Source organism: Homo sapiens, chromosome 17 (assembly GCF_000001405.40).
Source record: "Homo sapiens chromosome 17, GRCh38.p14 Primary Assembly".
Taxonomy (NCBI): Eukaryota; Metazoa; Chordata; class Mammalia; order Primates; family Hominidae; genus Homo; species Homo sapiens.
This window is the reverse complement of record NC_000017.11, coordinates 39,068,287-39,088,978: the sequence shown is the minus strand read 5'-3', so window position 1 is coordinate 39,088,978 and position 20,692 is coordinate 39,068,287. Positions and strand designations below refer to the sequence as shown.

The following is a 20,692-nucleotide window of genomic DNA, read 5'->3' as shown; positions in this document are numbered from 1 at the left end:
TTTCTCTCTCTCTCTTTTTTTTTTTTTTTTTTTTTCAGTCTTGCTCTTGTCACCCAGGCTGGAGTGCAGTGGCACAATCTCAGCTGACTGCAACCTCTGCCTCCCAGGTTCAAGCGATTCTCCTGCCTCAGCCTCTCAAGTAGCTGGGATTACAGGCGTGTACCACCACACCCAGCTAATTTTTGTATTTTTAGTAGAGACAGGGTTTCTACTAAAAACCCTGTTGGCCAGGCTGGTCTCGAACTCCTGACCTCAAGTGATCCACCTGCCTCGGCCTCCCAAAGTGCTGGGATTACAGGCATGAGCCACCATGCCTGGCTGGGCTGCCTGCCTTTCAAAATTGAAGAAAACCAACCCCAAGTCATGGTTCCTGGGTGGGTATCGTGGCCTAGAGAGAAGTATCAGAGCACCTCAGATTGTCATTTTAAAAAAGAAGCCTTTCATGTACAGTTCCAGCTTTTTCCTCCCAAGGGTGTTGTGGTAGGTGTTTCTGTCTTTCCACTCCACAGACAAGAAACTGAGGTCCAAATGACTTGCCTGAGGTTATCCAGCAAGTCGTGAGCAGAACTAGAACGAACTTGGATCTCCTGACTCTGAGGTCCTGTGAGAAGTTTCTGCAGGGACCAAAGTAGGACTCGAGCCTGGCTGCAAGCCCTGAGCCTTGCTGGGGGATTTGTCCAGGAGGGGTGAGGTGGATGGTGGACAGCAACATGCAAAAGTCAGCCTGTCCATCTGCAGACATTCACAGAGCACTCAGCGAGGTTCAGGACCAGATGATCATGGTCTCACACATCCCCAGCCTCCAAATAGACCCTCATGTCCACAGTGTGGTGAGTGCAGTGGGAGGGGGGCACCTGGCCTGAGCCAGGCAGAGGAGGGAGCTGGCCAAGGAGGGCTGCTCAGGGGAAGTGGCCCTTGAGCTAGATCTGCAAGGATGAGCTAGACAGGAAGAAGGGGTGGAAGAACATCTTGGGTCAGGGGAATAGCAGTTGTGAAGGCGCAGAGGCAAGGAGAAGCAAGCATGGGATCCCATTTGTCCTGCCCCCAAGAGCAGCCAGGTCTCTGCGTTGAGTCACTTAGCCTCACACCACAACACTCTCCTCTCCAGGTCCGCACCTGTCCCTGTCTCCAGCAGCGCCAACATCATTGTCCCAGGCTGCTGGGTGCACTTACTGCCTTCAGTGCAGCAGGCTGACCTGTCAGACTGTCCGGGAAGAGGCCTCGATGCCCTCTGCCTGTGATATGCTCCTGACAACAGGCTCTGCCTCTGTTTCAGAATCTCGGCGAAGGAGCATCTTTGAATATCACCGCATAGAGCTGGACCCCAGCAAGGTCACCAGCATGTCGGCCGTGGAGTTCACCCCATTGCCGAGTGAGTAGGGGTCATTCCGCCATCCCAGAAAGAGCTCTGGAGTCAAGCAGACTGGCTTCATGTCCCAGGCCCATGACTGACTCCTGTTTTGTGCAGCCACCTAACTTTTCGGGGCCCTCCATCTCTCTTTTGTAACCCGAGCCTGATGCCACCTCCCTCCCAGAGATAGGGTAAGGGTGAGAACCACCTAGGTGGAGTTGAGCACATCGGCCGCAGCTCTGACATTGATGGGTCCATTCTGGGTTTGGGGTGGGGGTTAGGGCTTGATCTAGGACAGCTATTGTTATTCCCACATAATTGAAACCCGGGAAAGCTGTACCTCTGAGAACGCCTAGACTGAGCCCCCAGAAAAGGTGATCCAGGAACTAGACGGGCCTCAGTTTGTCACTGTATTCTCCTTAGAGGAGGTGATGCTGCGGTCCACAGGCAGGAGGCAATGGAGGGACTTAGCAGGTGGCCTCCATAAACCATGGGACCCTGGCCCTCTGCACCCCACTCACCCATGCTGAAGGCAGCCACCTGCTGTTGTGGAGCCCACAGGATCCGCGGTGGATGCTCTTCGGGATGGGGCTGGGACAGCTGAGACTGCGGGAAGGAGTACAGCATCTTCCTTCTTGTTGTTTTATGAAGGTCTTCATTTCCTCTCCCATCTTGTGGTGCCCCCAGCTTCCTGCTGAAGCCATGGCCTTCTCCCTGCCTCAGTGGCATTTCTTCTTTTTCTTCTTCTTTTTTTTTTTTTTTTTTTTTGAGACAGTCTCACTCTGTTGCCCAGGCTAGAGTGCAGTGGTGTGATCTCGGCTCACTGCAATCTCTATCTCCCAGGTTCACGTGATTCTCCTGCCTCAGCCTCCCAAGTAGCTGGGATTACAGGCACCCGCCACCATGCCCGGCTAATTTTTGTATTTTTAATAGAAATAGGGTTTCACTCTGTCGGCCAGGCTGGTTTTGAACTCCTGACCTCAAGTGATCCACCCACCTCGGCCTCCCAAAGTGCTGGGATTACAGGTGTGAGCCACCACGCCTGGTGCTGGGATTTCAGGCGTGAGCCACCATGTCCAGTGTTGGAATTACAGGCATGAGCCACCATGCCCGGTCTTCAGTGGCATTTCTTGCCTCTCTTTACCCCTGCTTCCTCTTCCTTGGAGGTCCTGAGAGCAGGGGGTGGAGAAGGAAGAGGAAGAGAAGGAGGGAGGATCTTCTCAAATGCTAGGCCATGTCTCAGACAGGGCTCAGCAGGTGTCTTTCCCTGGACAACAGAAAGGACTCAGACACCAGGGGGTCACAGGGCTGGGACACTTTAGGGGTCACAGGGCTGGGACACTTTAGAGGTCACAGCCATACCCCAACCCTATCACTCTCCATCGGGGCAGAAGGCTCAGGGCCTGAGAACCAGGGTTCCTCGAGGACTGGTGAGAGCAAACCTTAGCCTCTATGATGTGGATAAAACTGCATTTAGGAGCAAGGACATCCAAGGGCAGGGCTGACTGCCTGGGTGGAAGCAGTGAAATGTTTTGGGAATGCATTTCTGGGACACTGTACATTTAAGGTACTTCTCACCCCTCCGGTGAATTTTGTGAGCATTTAATAGCATTCAGGCCATCTGAAATGTTGATGAGAAATAAAGGTCAGTAGGTGTTATGAATACCCCAGGAGGATCCCAGGAGTTTCTCTGTGGCCAGTTTGACTGGAGTCTTTTAAGGGGCCTCCAAAGTCACTGGGAAAGGCAAGGGCAGGGCTCCCACCTGGAAGCAGCTGGTGAAGGAGGGGTAATGCTATCAAGGCTGTGATTTGAGCCCCTGGGAAACCAGATAGGGAGAAAACTCTCTGTATCCCCTGGCTTCTCCCTTACCATTTGGGTGTGGGAAGGACTTGTCCAGATTACTTCAGAGGGGTGAGTGGCTTATCTCCAAGCCATCGTATTCTGTAGCTGGTCCCTCCTGGTCCCTCTTCTAGGAGAGACCCATAAAAAAGTGGCCTGGGGTGGGAGTGAGAGCTGAGGAAGGGGCAGGGGAAACCCACAGTGAGACCTCAAGGCTAAGAGCTCGATCTCTATGTTCAAACAGACCTTGGTTCAAACCCAGACCTCTCACTGTCAGCTCCACGACTCTCTCCAAGCCTCAGTTCCCTCCTCCATAAAATGGGGATAACAAGAGCACTTATATATTGATTCGACATACCATGTGCCAGGCACTGTTCCAGACCCTCTGGATACACAGGGAACAAAACAGCCAGAGAGTGCTCATCCTCCTGCACAGGGCAGCCCCTGCTTCTTTCCTGCCCATGGCTCTTTCCATCCACTCTCCCAGGGCCTTCAACACCACGGCAGACAAAAGGACACAGTGCCACCCACTGCCAGTCCCTCCCAGAGTGACTGAAGGTGGCCACACTGTGCCCATGCAGCCTCTCTCCCACTCACCCAGGGCTGGTTCCCAGCTGCCATCTTGCTGGGGCTCCATGTAATGCACATTGGCTCCTGAGTTAATGGATCACATGAGAATTCACACAGGAAGAAACACATGCAATGTTGATCAAATGAGTGGTCATTTTTCTGTTGTTAGTTGTCACTTCTTGTGGCTATCAAGGTGTTCTGTTCTGTTGCTTATAAGATAAGCCCTTCTGCACACAGTTGTTCTGGGTGAGTGCCTGTCTCTCTTTGCAATCAAATATACGGGCTTTGTGACAGCTACTTGCCGCTCAGAGGTCATCTGGTTCATTCAAGTGAGTAGCACTGGATTGCAAGTGAACAGCTCTTAAATCCAGCCCCCGTGCCTACTGCGCCCCCTGCCCTGCTGCTCCTGTGCCTGGCCTGTGCCAGAAGGGTTCACGCGCCCTCCAGCAACCTGGTCCCACTAATCTCTCTGTTCTCTGGCTCTGTCCTGCCCAGGCTGGGCCCCAGCTGTCGCTCCCTCTTCATTCGTACTAATTCCAGCCCCTTCACTCTGTGCAGCCTGGTAGCAGTTCTGGCTGCTGCTGGGATCACGTCTGGGCCGTTCCCCTCTCGGCTCTGCACATGGGACCTTTCTGCCTTGACTTCTTCTCTCCCAGGAGAGCTGTTTTCTCCCCATGGACCGAACATCAGGAGTGGGCAGTGAGTGCCCCCAACAAGCACTGGGGGCAACCAGAGCATCTTTTAAAACAATAACTTTTATTGTACATATTTCAGGTATACAGCATGATGCTATGGGATGCATATAGACAGTGAGATGGTTACCATGATGAAGCAGTTAACATATCCATCATCTCACAGTTCCCTTAGATTTTTTGTTCTTGTGGCAAGAGCAGCTAAAATCTACTCATTTAGCATGAACTCCACATACAGTACAATTTTATTACCTACAGTCCTCATGTTATACAGTAGATTCTAGCCTTGTTCATCCTACATACCTGCTACTTTGTATGCTCTGACCTTTAAAAAATCCCTTTCAACCCTTTGACTGTGGGATACACACCTGAAAGTATAATGTCTCCGACTAGGTGAGATTCCTTTGTACACACTTACAGCACCTTGTGATTTGCCGTCATAGACCTCGTGACAGTTCTAATTCTGTAGTGATTTTTGATTATCTGTTTAGTGTCTGTGTCCCCATATGAGTCTAAGCCCTAAGAAGGCAGGGACTAGGTCTCACTGCTGAATCCCCAGCACCCAGTTTAGGGCCTGACCTTCTAGTGAGAAGGAAGGAAGCTAGGGAGGGAGGAAGCGAGGGAGGCAGGGAACAAGGGAGTGAGGGACAGAAGAAGGAAAAAAGGAAGGTAGGTAGGGAGGGAGGAAGAGATGGTGGGGAGGCTGAGGCAGGAGGATCACTTGAACCCAGAAGTTCGAGGCTATAGTGAGCCATGATCAGGTCATCACACACCAACCTGGGCAACACAGCGAGACCTCATCCCTTAAAAAAAGAAGTTAGGAATTGGGGCTAGACTGGACCAAGGGAGGTGGCATTAATGACCTTAAAGGTCTCCTCAAAGTCAGGGGCTCCATAGTTCTGTAAATACCAGGAATTCAGAGTTGCACCCTTTGGAGCCCAAGGAGAGGCTCGGTGCTGAGCGGCCACTGCCTTCTCTCTTGCAGCCTGCCTGCAGCATAGGAGCTGTGACGCCTGCATGTCCTCAGACCTGACCTTCAACTGCAGCTGGTGCCATGTCCTCCAGAGGTTTGTGCCCAGGGTTACCTGCTGACTCCCACTGGCCGACTGTGGAGGGGAAGAGGGTGGCATGGCCCCGTCCTGGCCTCACTGCCCACAGTCAGCCAACATGAGAGTATCTCTGGCCAGTACCACTCTGACTCTTGGGACAAGAACATGGCCTGGGGGCTTCTGGAAGACCATTTAGGGATTCCAGCTACTCAGGCTCCCTCCTCACACCCAGGAGGAGAGGGTTCATCCTGGAACAGGGCTTCTCGGAGTGTTCCACAGCTGTGGGCATTAGACCCTGGGCTCCAGTTAAACACACTGGATTCCTGGGACCCATCCCAGACCCTCTGTATCAGGATCTCTGGGAGAGAACCCAGGAAGCTGCATTTTAACATCATGCTTCATCTGCAAACAAGTGTGAGAACTGCCAGTTCAGAGACAAAGTCTGGTCCAAAGACCCATGACCCCAAAACACCACCTCAAGATCTTTCTTGGGCTGCAAGGGATTTTTCTGAAGACCAGGGGTGTGGACTACAGGCATCCATGGAAAGTTGGGAGAGCTAAAAAGCTGTGTTTGCTTGCTTTTAGAAGCTCAGAAAATTCTGGGTGAGATTCAGTTTCAGTGATAATGTTCTTAAATCCATCTCCTCTTCCACTCCTTGTTCTGAAATCATTTCCTCACAGATTAGACTCAGCATTCAAGCTCTGTTCCCTGTCCAAGATAAATAAATGACAGGAGGAGGGGGAAGAAAAAGATTTCCTTGGGGACTAGAGTTCTCATGAGAGTGGGAAGTCCTATGAACTCCAAGGGCTTTTAAGGCAATCTTGAAAATTGCTAAATTATAGTCTCTGAGTTCCTGTGCAGCTGTCGTGCTGCTCCTTTCCAATGCTCCTTTCCAGTGCTTTTTTTTTTTTTGAGAGAGTTTTGCTCTTGTTGCCCAGGCTGGAGTACAATGGTGTGATCTTGGCTCACTGCAACCTTTACCTCCTGAGTTCAAGCGATTCTCCTGCCTCAGCCTCTTGAGTAGCTAGGATTACAGGCACACACCACCACACCCAGCTAATTTTTTTGTATTTTTCTAGTAGAGATGGGGTTTCACCAAACCAAGAGTTTGGCCAGGCTTGTCTCAAACTCTTGACCTCAGGTAATCCATCTATCTCGGCCTTCCCAAAGGCGTGAGCCACTGCCCCGGCCCCAGTGATTTCCTTTGCCTCTGCACCATGGCCCACTCTGGAGTCTAAGAGTAACATTAATTCCAGGATTCCTTTGCTCCTTTCCAATATCCTGCTGCAAATGTAGAAGTTCTCGCCTTTATAGGCAGCCTGCCTAGCACACAGGACACAGCTCTGGGCCCAGAGGGGATGGGGTGTGCCCATCAGGTCTCCCAGGTGTTCTTCCCACCAGCTGTGCTTTTATTCACTCTCTTGGGGCCTCAGATTGTTTACCCTGTAAAATGGGCTGGGGTCATGTGATTCAGGAAGATGTGGGAACAAACACACTGTTATTTAAACTCCTCAAGCAGTTTTTGTTTTGTTTTGAGACAGGGTCTTGCTCTGTCATCCAGGCTGGGGTGCAGTGGTGCAATCACAGCTCACTGTGGCCTCAACCTCCTGGCTCAAGCAATCCTCCTGCCTCAGTCCCCCCTGTAGTTGAAACCACAGGTGCACACCACCACACCCGGCCATTTTTCTAATATTTTGTAGAGATGGGGTCTCACTTTGTTGGCCAAGCTGGTCTTGAACTCCTGGGTTCAAGTGATCTGCCCTCCTCGGCCTCCCAAAATGCTGGGATTACAGGTGTGAGCCACTGCACCCAGGCTATCAAGATATCAAGAAGCATTTTTTTTTTTTTTGAGACGGAGTCTCGCTCTGTCACCCAGGCTGGAGTGCAGTGGCGCGATCTCGGTTCACTGCAAGCTCCGCCTCCCGGGTTCTGGCCATTCTCCTGCCTAAGCCTCCCGAGTAGCTGGGACTACAGGCGCCTGCAACCACGCCTGGCTAATTTTTTGTATTTTTTTTTTTTTTTTTAGTAGAGATGAGGTTTCACCGTGTTAGCCAGGACAGTCTCGATCTCCTGACCTCATGATCCGCCCGCCTCGGCCTCCCAAAGTACTGGGATTACAGGCGTGAGCCACCACGCCCAGCCGCAAGAAGCATTTTTACAAAGCATTCAGCATCCTTCGCATGAGACTCACAGAGCCTCAGAAAGAATATGTAGGATAGACCCCAGGTTGGTTCTTCCTGGAGCAGAGCGTTGCAGAATAGTCTGCAGACTGTGAGGCTCTCCTTATACCTGGAGGGCTTGTAAAATGCAGATTCCTGGGCCCCATCCCACTGAATATGATCCTCTGGAACCAGGATCCCAGAAATCTGATTTTTGAAGTGGTCCCTCTTGTGTACTTTCAAATTTGAGAACCATGGTCTAAGCAATGGAGAGATGGCCTCAGATGAGCCCTGGGATCCTGGGGCTGGCTGCCACCACATGACTCAGCTTTCACAAGCGCTGAGCCATGAGAACTGCAAAATGGGTCAGATGACAGCCAAACTCTCCCATCAACACAACCCCCATTTAAAGCATATGCCCAAATTCAGAGACTATGAGTTAAATGAGGGTTGAGCCCTCCTCAACATTAGGAGGTTGGTCAGGCTGGGGGAAGGGCAAGGCCTCTGACTGTGTGCATCTGCAGGAGTTGTGTCAGCAAAGAGGAGCACAGAGAAACTCCACCTGGGGGAGCATGGCTGGTGCAGGCTGAAAATCATCCCATCCCCAGGCGCCCCATGGGCCTGGGCTCACTCCTGCACATTGTCCCTTCTTACAAGCTCTCTGGAGCCTCAGCTGCAACTGAGAGCTGAACCTAGGTCCCTAAAAACCCGGAGGGCAGGGCCAGCTGACATGGTCTCTCTGCCAACAGCTGCAGTCAGTCCCTGCATGGTTCTCTGCTCCCCTCCCCTCCACCCACTTTGCCTTTCACAGCCTCCCAGAGCTTTTCTCCTTGCTCTTGGGCTGGAATGGATTTAAACAATTTCGTCTCTCACGGCAGATGCCTGCCTGCCCCCGCCCCGCCATGACCCACTCTGGAGTCTAAGGGTAATGTTAATTCCAGGATTAGCTCCAGAAATGGGGGTCATAAACCCATACCAAAGGCTCAATCTTTGAAAGAATCAGTTAGCACAGTCTAAAAGAAACTATTTTTTTTTTTTAAGAGACAGGGTCTTGCTCTGTCACCCAGGCTGGAGTGCAGTGGTGCCATCATAGCTCACTATAGCCTTAAATTCCTGGGCTCAAGCAATCCTCCTGCCTCAGCCTCTCAAAACGCTGGGATTACAGGCATGAGCCACCACACCCAGCCCTAAAAGAAACTTTAGTTCTCAGCCTCCAATAGCCTTCCTAATCCTCCATCCCCCAAAGTAGTGGGCATAGAGGACCTGACAGAAGGAGAGTGTGGCTGGCTCAGTTCAGCCATCCCTGCTGCAGGAGGAGCAGCTCAGAGCCCAGAGGCATCTGCAGAAGGAAAGACTGACAGCTCCTGGCAAGCCTTGGCCCTTGGCCTCACCAAACCTCAGTGGGTGCTGGTGCAGTTAACCTGCTGAGAATTCCTTCTTGGCACTGGTGGTTCATGATGTTATTCTTCCCATGCAGACATCCCTGGGCTTGAGTAGGGCTTGGTGGGTTCCCCTAGCACCAAAGAGTAAAGAACGAAAAGTTGGGAATGATGCATGGAGAACATTCTCTGGTGCATCGTCATGCCCCCATCCTTTCCCTACAGGGGCGCTTGGTGTCTTCCAGCCCAGCTGAGCTGTCCAATGCCCTCTCCGGAGACCCTTGTCAGCCAGTTGTCTCCCAGCCTCTCTGGCAGGACCGTCAGAAATGCCCTTGAATGATCACATGGGGAGGTGTTGACTAAGTCTGCTGAGGCCTACCTTTAGCCCTACTCTCTTTCCCAAGTTTAGGTCCCTCAACAACCAGGATGAAAACACGTATGTGAATTGCCTGGATTCTCAGCAGTGTCACGGCAGCTCAGAGTCAAGGCGACCTTGAGGATCACTGGAGCTCATGCAGTCCTGCTAGCCCCTACACCTACTCACATGGGCAGATGTGGCCTTGGTCCTGGGGAGCTGGGTGGGAAGGAAGGCAGGGATGCCACAAATACCTTCATCTTCCGGGGAAGTAGAGGGAATGGGAGTGCCTGACTACCTCAGCCTGGGGACCTTGGCTCCTCTTCTCACTATCAGCAGAGAGCTGTTACTGAACAGTGAAAGGGGAAGGCTTCTTTGTCAATCCCATCATAACTCTGTCCTTTTGGTCCTCCTGCAGATGCTCCAGTGGCTTTGACCGCTATCGCCAGGAGTGGATGGACTATGGCTGTGCACAGGAGGTGAGAAGCATAAGTATCTGCTGCAACTCCTGTGCCAGGTGGTGGGGAACAGGAGGGCAGCCAGTAGGGCCTGCCCCTGGAAACTCTTCTCAAGGTGGCATTAGCTCTTGGCAATATCCTCCCTTCCATCTAAGATTTGTTTTCCAGACTGCCTTGAGCCAATCAGACCCACTTTGGAAGGTTTCAGAGGGCTCTGTGGGTCTCTGAGACGAGCATTCTGATGCCTTGACCTTAAGTGGGCAGCTCTCAAGGAATTCTTTTGGTGCATGCAGAGGGGATGTTGGGCATGGCCTCAGCCACTGCTGGCTCCTCTGGGAGACTGTGCACCTGCTGACCTTAATGATGCACCTGCTAAGCCTCTGGTCCTCTGGCTTTTGAGGAAGGCAGTCATTCTGGGAGTGAGAAGGGTGGTTCCAGGCATCTCCTCTTTAGAATCCCATCCAGGTTCCTTCTCACTGCAAGAATTTTCCAGTACACTCAACACTGATTCTAGGTGGAAAGCATCCTATTCTCACACCATAGACTAACATAGATGGGTCTATTCATCTGTGCCCTCTTTTTTGCCCCCTCCCTTTATATCTTCTTGCAAAGCAAGCATGCTGCATGTGCCAAGCATGTCACTGTGAGTTGCCCTACCCTCGCTCTTATTTAACCTGAACCAAAAGCTGGGGGCCATTGCCCCCATTGATCGATCACAGGGGAAAACTGGGGCTCAGAGAAGTTTAATGAATTGGCCTGCATCTCGCTGCTAGAAGGTGACGGGCCCAGCATTTAAATATCAACTCTCCAGACCCTGTGGCCATACACTTACCACAGTCTATTTATTAGTCTGAGTCTGGGCTTTAAAAAAACCCTGTCCAGCCGCCTACTTTTGAAGTTAGCTGTTGGTGACCGTTCAGATTTGCTCTATTTATTTAAGATTGGCATCTCAGCCCCTTCCTTGAGGAAGGATTTGAAGCAGCTGACAGATAAATTGCCCTGTAAGAGAAGATGCTTTCAGGATGAAGGGAAAGGTGTAAATGCATTCAAGACACAGCACTGGCTCTCTCCTGCAGGCAGAGGGCAGGATGTGCGAGGACTTCCAGGATGAGGACCACGACTCAGCCTCCCCTGACACTTCCTTCAGCCCCTATGATGGAGACCTCACCACTACCTCCTCCTCCCTCTTCATCGACAGCCTCACCACAGAAGGTAAGTTCTGAGCCCAGGAGGGGAGCAGAGAGGAGGCCAGGAAGGAGAGCTACCCACCCCTCTGGGGCCCCCTCTCTGTCCCTGACAGGGATGATCTCATGGGATGGGAACTGCCCCATCCTTTTATAGCTAAGGGGGCCTGAAGTTCAGACAGTTTAGGTCACTTGCTGGTGAGAAGCAGAGCCAGATTTAGAACTTGAACTCTACTCCTGGGCTCTAACCACTGTACTGGCCCACATCAGGGCTACAGACAATTCACTGTGAAGAGGGGAAAAATTAATAGCCCAGGCCAGTGCCAGGTATTTTATATACCTTATCTCAGCTAATCTTAATAGCAGTCCTCACAGAACCTGAAAAGGCTCATCCCTGTAGCAGGTATGAACTCAGTCCATACACTCAGGCGTGAGAGAAAGGCTGCCTTGTTTTTCTGTATGATCACCTGACTTCTCACTTTCAGGCCCTGGAGTGATGGATGGGGAATTCCACCTCAGCTGTCCATCCACCCTGACTATTCAGGTCTTGCAATCTAGGGGCTTCCCTGCTACCTGGAGGCCTGGGGGTCTTGGTTGAAGCTGCCAGAGGTCCATCCCCGTGAATGCACCAGGCGGTGTCCCAGGAAGCCTTGTGCAGGCTCCTCCGGTCCTAGGCCTCAAATCTCTTCCCTTTCTCCCATGCCCCCTCCAGGATTCTGTAGCTATGTCTGAGACATTCCTCTCCCTTATCCTTTTTCAATACCCTGCATCTCGGCCAGGCACAGTGGCTCACACCTGTAATCCCAGCACTTCGGGAGGCTGAGGTGAGCAGACCACTTGAGGTCAGGGGTTTGAGACCAGCCTGACCAACATGGTGAAACCCCGTCTCCACTAAAAATATAAAAATTGGCCGGGCGCGGTGGCTCACGCTTGTAATTCCAGCATTTTGGAAGGCCGAGGTGGGAGGATCACGAGGTCAGGAGTTCGAGACCATCCTGGCCAACACAGTGAAACCCATCTCTACTAAAAATACAAAAATTAGCTGGGCATGGTCGTGGGCGCCTGTAATCCCAGCTACTCGGGAGGCTGAGGCAGGAGAATTGCTTAAACCTGGGAGATGGAGGTTGCAGTGAGCCAAGATTGTGCCACTGCACTCCAGCCTGGGTGGCAGGGCAAGACCCTGTCTCAGAACAACACAACACAACACAAAACAAAACAAAACCCTGCATCCAGCTTTGAAAGCCCCTTCCCCTTAGGCTAAGACTGAAAGACTTGTGGGTTCTTTACAGCCTCCCCTGAACCAAATATCTGCTTGAAAGGAATAATGGCAAGAAGGAAAGGAAAGAAGAAAAAAGTTAACATTTTAAAACATTATTCAGCCACGTTTTTCTTCCCCCTCTAGCCCTATGTTAGGATTTTTTTTTTTTTTTTTGAGACAGGGTCTCACTCTTGCTCAGGCTGGAGTGCACTGGAGTGATCATGGCTCACCACAGCCCGCAACTCCTGGGCTCAAGCAATCCTCCAACCTCAGCCTCCCAAGCAGCTCGGACTGCAGGCATGTACCACCATACCTGGCTAATTTTTAAAAATTTTTTGTAGAGATGAGGTCTCACTATGTTGCCCGGGCTGATCTCAAACTCCTGGGCTCAAGCGATCCTCCTGCCTCAGCCTCCAAAAGTGCTGGGATTACAGGCCTAAGCCCCCATGCCTGGCCCATAGTCCTTTCTTATAGATAAGGAAAGAGGCTCGTAAAGGGGCAAAGTAGGTTATTCAGGGTTATGGGAGGGGTAAGTGGTGAGATGTTCTTTCCACAATGTCCCCTTTCTTTTTTCTTTCTTTTTTTTTTTTTCTTTTTTTTTTTTTCAGACTTAGTCCTGCTCTGTTGCCCAGGCTGGAGTGCAGTGGTACAATCCCAGCTCACTGCAACCTCTGCCTCCCAGGTTCAAGCAATTCTCCCACCTCAGCCTCCCAAGTAGCTGGGACTACAGGTGCACACCACCACACCCAGCTAATTTTTGTATTTTTAGTAGAGACTGGGTTTTGCCATGTTGGCCAGGCTGGTCTTAAACTCCTGACCTCATGTGATCCACCCACCTTGGCTTCCCAAAGTCTTAGGATTACAGGCGTGAGCCACTGCACCTGGTGTGTCCCCTGCCTTTCTAAACGTTACCTAGAAAACTAGAGAACAAAGTCAGTGACCCATGGACCTGGCTGGGGGGAGGTTGTGGAGGAGAATGAATGAATGATAGAAAGCATCAGCATTTGTGGGGACCAACTATATGCCCAGTAGGATGCTAAAGTAGCGCATAAATTAACATTCAGTCCTCCCAACAATCCTGGATCTTGATACTGTTATATCCCTGTTTTATAAAGGAGACACTAAGGCTCAGAGAGGCAGATGACTTTCCCAAGGTCACACAGCCAAGAAGGGATAGAGTCAGGTTTCATCTAGCTCCAAAAGCAGAGATCTTTCCCCTCAACCCCACTGCCTCTCTTGGTGCTGAAAGAAATGGAAAAGGGTCTATGTGAATTCAGGGTCAGGGCAGAGTAGCAAAGTGTGAAAAAGTGAGGCAGATTCCGACAGCTCCCATTACTCTGAAGTTGCTCTGGAATAACAAGGAGCTGGCACTGAGAGCAGAGCACGTGGTGGTGCTGCAGGGGATTCAATGAAAAAGAAGCAGAGGCTGGGAGAGGAGGCTTACGCCTGTAATCCCAACACTTTGGGAGGCTGAGGCAGGCAGATCACTTGAGCTCAGGAGTTCGAGACCAGCCTGGGCAACATGGCAAAACTATGTCTCTACAAAAAATCAAAAATTAGCTGGGCGTGGTGGCGCACATGTGTAATCCCAGCTACTCAGGAGGCTGAGGTGGGAGGATTGGTTAAGCCTAGGAGGTTGAGGCTGCAGTGAGCTATGATTGCACCACTGCACTCTAGCCTGGGTGACAAAGTGAAACGCTGTCTCAAAAAAAGAAAAGGAAAGAAAGAAAGAAAAAGGAAAAGAAAAAGAAGCAGAAAGAAACTTTGCCCTTTGGGGAGCTGGTGACAGAGTCCAGGGTTAACCTTCCAGTCAAAGAAAGCTCCTCCTACAAGGAGGTAGTCCCTGATTAGTTACTGCCAGTTAACCCCCTAGGCTTACTGAGGGCATGTTCTGAGCCCAGCACTGGGCCAGGGCGGGGAGGGGTGCTGCAAACATACCCTGCCCCACCCAGAGGGTTTAGCCAGACAGTGTCTGGTGGAGGCACAGTGTCAGAGGCTAGAAGGGGGTCTGTGGTGGCGTGGGGAGCCCAGGGCACAGCACTTGGGGGCCAAGCCTAAATCCTGACTTGTTATTACTGAGCCCCCTGGGCTGTCCTACAGCCCACCATGTAGGTCCTCTGTCCTACAGAGGTAGCGAGTTCTGTTTGCCAGTTTTATTATCTGTGTGCATCCCCTGCCAGCTAAGGAATGGGTCTCATTTCCATGTTTTGTGTAGTGGTTCCCAACAGAAAACATTCATTAGAGTAAAAAGTGAAGACAGTTAGGGCTCTATGTCCTTCCAGTCCTGGAAGAGGTGGCAAAGATTCTGAAGTTACATCTATAAGAGAAAAAACTTTTTGGAGGGTGGAACAGGATCTTGCTATGTTACCTAGGCTGGACTTGAACTCCTGGGCTCAAGGATCCTCCCACCTCAACCTACTAAGTGCTGCAGGTACATGCCATTGTGCCTGGTTTATAAGAAAAAACATTTTTAATGATGACTTCCCCCCACATGCCCAACTTGCAAGGCATCTTGGCAGGAGAGTTTGAGTCACTCTCCTGCCTGTGTGGTTACAGCCCACACAGGGAGACTTGCAGAGGCAGGTGTGGGATAGAGTCTTTCCCATACATTCTATGAGGGTACAGGCTCTAACAGGGAGATTGAATGAAGGGACCCAGCACTCCAGCCAGAGGGGCCTGCCTGGGCAGGCAGAAGTAGAAAGCAGCAGGGCAGGAGGAGTGGGAGACATGGGGCCTGGATTTAAGAGCCGTTCACTTGCAGTCAAACGCTACTCACTTAAATGAACCAGATGACCTCTGAGTGGCAAGTAGCTGTCACAAAGCCCATGCATTTGATTGCAAAGAGAGACAGGCACTCACCCAGAACAACTGTGTGCAGAAGGGCTTATCTTATAAGCAACAGAACAGAACACCTTGATAGCCACAAGAAGTGACAACTAACAACAGAAAATGACCACTCATTTGATCAACATTGCATGCATTTCTTCCTGTGTGAGTTCTCATGTGATCCACTAACTCAGGAGCCAATGTGCATTACATGGAGCCCCAGCAAGATGGCAGCTGGGAACCAGCCCTTGGTGAGTGGGAGAGAGGCTGCGTGGGCACAGTGTGGCCACCTTCAGTCACTCTGGGAGGGACTGGCAGTGGGCGGCACTGTGTCCTTTTGTCTACCAGTGGTAGGTGCAGACTGAGCCATAATTGATCTTCAATGGTCTAGATTTGCAACAAGTTGATTCAAATCAAGTTAATTTGCCCAGTGATATTTAAGTTCCTTTGCTTAGTTTTGATGAATCAATTCATTGTTTTCAATTTGCAGTAACGAAATAGATTCAAAGTTGTGTTTAAATACCTTGTTAGGCCAGGTGAGGTGGCTCTCGCCTGTAATCCCAGTGCTCTGAGAGGCTGAGGTAAGAAGATTGCTTGAGCCCACGAGTTGGAGACCAGCCTGGGCAACACAGTGAGACCTCATCTCAAAAAAATCTTTTTTAATTAGCCAGACGCAGCTACTCGGGAGGCTGAGGTGGGAGGATCACTTGAGTTCAGGAGGTCGGGGCTGTAGTGAACTGTGATTGTACCACTGCACTCCAGCCTGTGTGACGGAGCAAGACCCTCTCTCTAAAATACATAAATAAATAAATAAAGTTCAGGTGCTTAGGGCAAGAATCTTCAGTCATTTACAGCATTCTCCTGACATGGAACTCTTGCTTTTCTTTCCCCATAAAAATCTGCATGGGAAGGAACCACAGGAAGGGTGGACCCTTGAAACTTACTTAGAAAGCCACAGGCTACAGGCCTCGAGGTATAGACAGAAAGTGGGTTGGGACTCTCTCCTGCACACTGCAGCCCCAGGGAGTCTCCAGGCTGATCTGACCTTGTGACACATAAAGCCCCTCTTCAAACCCTTACACATCTCTCTGTCGCCCCACAGAAGAACGTGCATGGCCTCCTATTGCTCTCCAGGCAGCCGGCCCTCCACTCCCAGCCTCATCTCTCACCAGTCCCCGCTCATTTACTCCCCAGCCTCCAGCTACACTCAACTGCTGTGTGACTTGAGCAAGTCTCCTCCCCTCTCTGAGCCTCAGTTTCCTTACCTCTAAAATGAAAGTTTGGGCTGAACTTTCATCCCATCTGGACTCAGAGTGACAAAGGCTGTAATGATTCCACTAATCTTGCTCCTTCTGTCTTCTCTCTTTGAAGATGACACCAAGTTGAATCCCTATGCAGGAGGAGACGGTGAGTACAGAACTGCCTGCCCTCAGCGTCAGACCCAGCGCCTCTTGGACCCACCCCAGAAGAGGGTGCAGCAGTCGCCTGGGCTATTTTTATGAGTGCGGAGAGGGAGCAACGGCAGCCTGAGCATCCCAGACCTCCTGCTGGGTGGGGAGGCAGGGGGGCTTCTGGGCACAGGTGCCCTAGATCGAAGGAACATGTCTACCCTAGACATTTCTCATCTCAGCCCTGAACCTCCTGTGGTTCTTCTCCTGGCTCTCTGTCCTTGAATATTCACTGCCCAGAAAGGAGTGGGAGGAGGGGAAGGACTGAGCCAGGGCAGGTATAGGTGGGGCCTGTGGCCATCCCCTCTGATCCCCATGGGCTCATAGTCAGCAAGGGGTGGAGAGCAGCTTCTCTTTCCTCACTCAGGCTGGCAGAGGACATAAAATTGTCCGCTACAATTTTTGCAGGATGCCAGAAGGTGGGACTCCCTGCAGCCTCCTAGGATTACCTAGAAGGATAATCTCCTTTCTGAGGGTGGGAGCTGCCCCCACCTCCCCTGCCCTTTGCCCAGAGCCAGCTCAGGCCTTTGCGGCAACCTGTGCAAGAGTAGAGATGAAAGTGCCTTCCAGCTCCGGGGGCTGGAGATTGTCATCAGGGCTTCCAGCAGGAGAGGAAAGATTATTAATGCAGCACAGTGTGATGGTGTCCCCCAGCAGAGGTGGAGCCATTGCTCCTCCATAGGCAGTGGGTGTGTGTGTGTGTTGTGGGGGTGGCTGGGCCATAATCCCCTCGCTGTGCACCATGTGCTCATCAGCAGAAGCCTTCATCATCAAATCATCAGAGCCACTGCAGGCTGCGGGCTGATTGCCATCCAGGTCAGGGGAGGCTCACCTGGGGCATTTCACCTCAGTCCTCCCACCTGTTGGCAGACAGAGGCCCTAGCCATGCCCTGGAGTGCCCCAGGATAGTTTCTCTCCTGGGTGTCCTCTGCTTACAGAGTGCAGAGCAGAGCAAAGGGGATGGGGAAGACAATGGTTCTGAGTGCATGCAACATCCCATTAAAACTTGCCACCCCTAGTTCCCTCCCAACCCACCCACTAGCTATGTAGGAAGAATGCAACATTTTTGTTGCCAACCTGCTCATCTGTCTTCTCTACCTCATTATCTCTTTTAGGATAGGGTGAAGAGGCAAATAGCCACCCAAGGTAGTGTCAGGGAACTAGGTTTTTTAGTGGTGGGCACTGAATTTGTGTGTCTGTGGGGAAATCACTTAACCTCTCTGTTATTTCCATTACCTCAGTCATGCACAAAAGGGGTTGAGCTTCCAGCTCTGTGGAAAATACTCTCTCCCCCGGGACGTATTTCAAGTGCCTAGGATGTTCTCAGAGGGTGACTGTTGGCTTATTAGCTTCCAGAGGACCTAGATCATCCCATAGACTTTCTTTGAGCTTCTCTGACGGGCCTGCCAGTTTTGTTGTTTTGTTTTGTTTGAGACGGAGTCTCACTCTATCGCCCATGCTGGAGTGCAGTGGTGCGATCTCGGCTCACTGCAACCTCCGCCTCCTAGGTTCAAGCTATTCTCCTGCCTCAGCCTCCTGAGTAGCTGGGACTACAGGCGCGTGCCACCATGCCTGGCTAATTTTTGTATTTTTAGTAGAGACAAGGTTTCACCATGTTGGCCAGGCTGGTCTTGAAATCCTGACCTCAGGTGACCTGCCTGCCTCGGCCTCCTAAAGTGCTGGGATTACAGGGGTGAGCCACTGCGGCCAGCCCCTGCCAGTTTTTCTAAGAGCTGAGGACACAGAGTTGAATAAGACATCATCCTTGCCCTGCAAGAGGTCACAATCTGGGAGTGGACAGTGATAGGAAAAACTATGGTCATTTGCCATCATAATAGCTAATACTTATTGAAGTCATCCAAAATGGGAGACATGGTCCTCAGTGCTTGACATGGATCATCTAATTTTAACCTTCACAATAACCCTATTAGGTGGGTGTTATTATCCTTGTTCAAAAGAAATGATAATGAAGACACAGAGAGGTTAGATAATTTGCACAAGGTCACACAGCTAGTAAGTGGCAGAGCATAGATTTCAACCCAGGCAGCCAGATTTCAGATCCCAAACTCTTAACCCTCCGATGCCCTTTGTGAATTCCTTAATAGCACTTATGTAGTGGCACAGATATCAGAGAGAACTTCTCTTATGATCCTTATTAGACATTTGGGGCAACTTTTACATGATTTTGGAAAACTACCCAGATGGTGTCAAGAACATGAATGCCTTACTCATAATGATTCCAACTCCCACCCAACCTCTTCCTGTATTGGATAAGTGGACCCAAAGGCTCTGTCGGCTTTCATCTCTGAGACTTTGTTAGAACCCAAGACCCCATGGTTCGACCTTCCCTGCTCCCCTGCAGCCCCTGTCTGCCCTAATGATCTCTCCACAGGCCTTCAGAACAACCTGTCCCCCAAGACAAAGGGCACTCCTGTGCACCTGGGCACCATCGTGGGCATCGTGCTGGCAGTCCTCCTCGTGGCGGCCATCATCCTGGCTGGAATTTACATCAATGGCCACCCCACATCCAATGCTGCGCTCTTCTTCATCGAGGTCCGTGTCATCTGTGGCCACAGGGCTCCTGTCTGCTTCTGCGTCGGCGTCTCCTGGGCCATTCGGTCCCTGCCTCTCCCCTTCTCCCTCTCCCCTGCCACATACCTGAGAAAACTTCATCCACCCCATCCTGGCACATTTCGAGATGGCTGGCGCCCGTTAAGTCCTGCACCCTGATAAATCAGCACCTCAGAACTCCCTCGGCCCTCCTGTCCTGTGGAACAGCCCCTCTGCTTTTGTTCCCCCATTTGTGAAATCAGAAAAAATCCCCAGAGGAAAGAAAGAAGGCCACAGTGCCACATAGTGCTCATCTAGTGGCTGTGCAGCCTATCTCCAGTGATTTATGGTCTCTCATGCCCAAATGCCAGGCTCAGTACTTACTCAAAGCCATGAGGGAACCAGGGTCTCTGCCTCTTTTGCCTACTGATACCTGCTTTTAAGGCTAAAATTGAGGGGCAGGTGCAGTGGCTCCTTCCTAAGATCCTAGCACTTTGAGAAACCAAGGCAAGATTACTTGAGCACAGGAGTTTGAGACTAGCCTGGGCAACAGAGTGAGACCCCGTCTCTACAAAAATTTAAAAAATTAGCCCAGCGTGGTGGCACGTACCTGTGGTCCCAGCCGCTTGGGAAGCTGAGGTGGGAGGATCCCTTGAGCCCAGTGGTTTGAGGCTGCAGTGAGCCCTGACCATACCACTGCACTCCAACCTGGGCAATAGAGGAGACCCCATCTCTAAAATAGAAATAAAAATAAAATAGACAAGCCAAATAATGATAAGAGCTGCCCTCTGGGAGCTTTAATTGAGGATACTAAGTTTTGAATGTCTCAATTCTGAAGAGCCAGCCTGAGGGGCAGCATGGGATGTGAGGCTCAGCCCCCTTCACTCGGGGCTGCAGAGCTCAGCAGCTCCTGCCCCCAGTCCTCCACTTCTGGCTTCTTACGAGTTCCCCACAGAGTGCAGCAGTGGTGCCTCTGTGACCCTAGTTTCTTCCACGTGGGTCACAAGCCCACCAGCCTCATTAACCCACAGGCCTAGGTCATTCCCCCAGTTTCTTAGGAGGCTTAGTCATTCTGAAGTCTTAGCCTACCTGGGTAACACCTGGGAACTGCAGATCCCTGGGCCACAGGGATTCTGATAGGGCAGGTCTAAGGCAGGCCCAGGAATCTGCATTTTATTTATTTCGAGACAGTCTCACTCTGTCGCCTAGGCTGGAGTACAGTGGCACAATCTTGGCTTACTGCAGCCTCCGCCTCCTGGGTTCAAGCAATTCTGGTGCCTCAACCTTCTGAGTAGTTGCGACTACAGGCACGTGCCACCACACTCAGCTAATTTTTGTATTTTTAGTGGAGACAGTGTTTCACCATGTTGGCCAGGCTGGTCTTGAACTCCTGGCCTCAAGTGATCTGCCCATCTTGGCCTCCCAAAGTGCTGGGATTACAGGCATAAGCCACTGCACAGGCCAGAATCTGCATTTTAATAAGCCCCCTGTTGACTCTGATGTGGATCCTGTGCTACCTTGGAGGGTTATCTTGGCATTTTCAGAGCCTCAAGCATCATGCCAGCCATCTCT

General features: G+C 51.2%; 1 protein-coding gene and 1 pseudogene across 19 annotated transcripts in view, besides 5 other annotated features; one reads left to right on the top strand and one right to left on the bottom strand.

Moving 5' to 3' along the window:
* Positions 1-20,692, bottom strand: part of RDM1P5 (RDM1 pseudogene 5) — a 34,940-nt pseudogene that overhangs the window by 2,980 nt on the left and 11,268 nt on the right. Inside the window, exons 3-5 of one of the 2 annotated variants that reach the window (NR_174975.1) lie at positions 16,388-16,512; positions 15,646-15,911; positions 1,873-2,520 (exon numbers count right to left, since the gene is read on the bottom strand). The product of NR_174975.1 is annotated as an RDM1 pseudogene 5, transcript variant 2 (transcript). Of the gene's footprint in view, positions 1-1,872; positions 2,521-7,527; positions 9,176-15,645; positions 15,912-16,387; positions 16,513-20,692 lie in introns of those variants that run through there. The other variant, NR_036551.2, reaches the window with a different exon arrangement.
* PLXDC1 (plexin domain containing 1) overlaps positions 1-20,692 on the top strand; it is an 89,655-nt gene that overhangs the window by 63,989 nt on the left and 4,974 nt on the right. For 4 of the 17 annotated variants that reach the window (XM_047436434.1, XM_047436435.1, NM_020405.5 and 1 more), the window contains 6 exons: positions 1,277-1,372; positions 5,439-5,520; positions 9,815-9,875; positions 10,931-11,066; positions 16,494-16,529; positions 18,963-19,123. In XM_047436434.1, coding sequence (XP_047292390.1) covers positions 1,277-1,372; positions 5,439-5,520; positions 9,815-9,875; positions 10,931-11,066; positions 16,494-16,529; positions 18,963-19,123 — 572 coding nt within the window. Of the gene's footprint in view, positions 1-1,276; positions 1,373-5,438; positions 5,521-7,529; positions 7,570-9,445; positions 9,876-10,930; positions 11,067-11,750; positions 11,883-16,493; positions 16,530-18,962; positions 19,124-20,692 lie in introns of those variants that run through there. The other 13 variants (XM_047436432.1, XM_047436424.1, XM_047436431.1 and 10 more) reach the window with 11 other exon arrangements.
* Positions 1,172-1,672: an enhancer, noted in NCBI's record as "H3K4me1 hESC enhancer chr17:37243560-37244060 (GRCh37/hg19 assembly coordinates)". NCBI's record gives its function as "activates a minimal SCP1, AML or CMV promoter by ChIP-STARR-seq in naive and primed H9 embryonic stem cells {active_cell/tissue: H9 hESC(naive and primed)}" and the evidence as "EXISTENCE:reporter gene assay evidence [ECO:0000049][PMID:30033119]".
* Positions 5,011-5,511: an enhancer, noted in NCBI's record as "H3K4me1 hESC enhancer chr17:37239721-37240221 (GRCh37/hg19 assembly coordinates)". NCBI's record gives its function as "activates a minimal SCP1, AML or CMV promoter by ChIP-STARR-seq in primed H9 embryonic stem cells {active_cell/tissue: H9 hESC(primed)}" and the evidence as "EXISTENCE:reporter gene assay evidence [ECO:0000049][PMID:30033119]".
* Positions 7,892-7,961: an enhancer, noted in NCBI's record as "active region_12087". NCBI's record gives its function as "activates an Ori minimal core promoter by ATAC-STARR-seq in GM12878 lymphoblastoid cells {active_cell/tissue: GM12878}" and the evidence as "EXISTENCE:reporter gene assay evidence [ECO:0000049][PMID:35858748]".
* Positions 8,142-8,201: an enhancer, noted in NCBI's record as "active region_12086". NCBI's record gives its function as "activates an Ori minimal core promoter by ATAC-STARR-seq in GM12878 lymphoblastoid cells {active_cell/tissue: GM12878}" and the evidence as "EXISTENCE:reporter gene assay evidence [ECO:0000049][PMID:35858748]".
* Positions 16,217-17,005: an enhancer, noted in NCBI's record as "H3K4me1 hESC enhancer chr17:37228227-37229015 (GRCh37/hg19 assembly coordinates)". NCBI's record gives its function as "activates a minimal SCP1, AML or CMV promoter by ChIP-STARR-seq in primed H9 embryonic stem cells {active_cell/tissue: H9 hESC(primed)}" and the evidence as "EXISTENCE:reporter gene assay evidence [ECO:0000049][PMID:30033119]".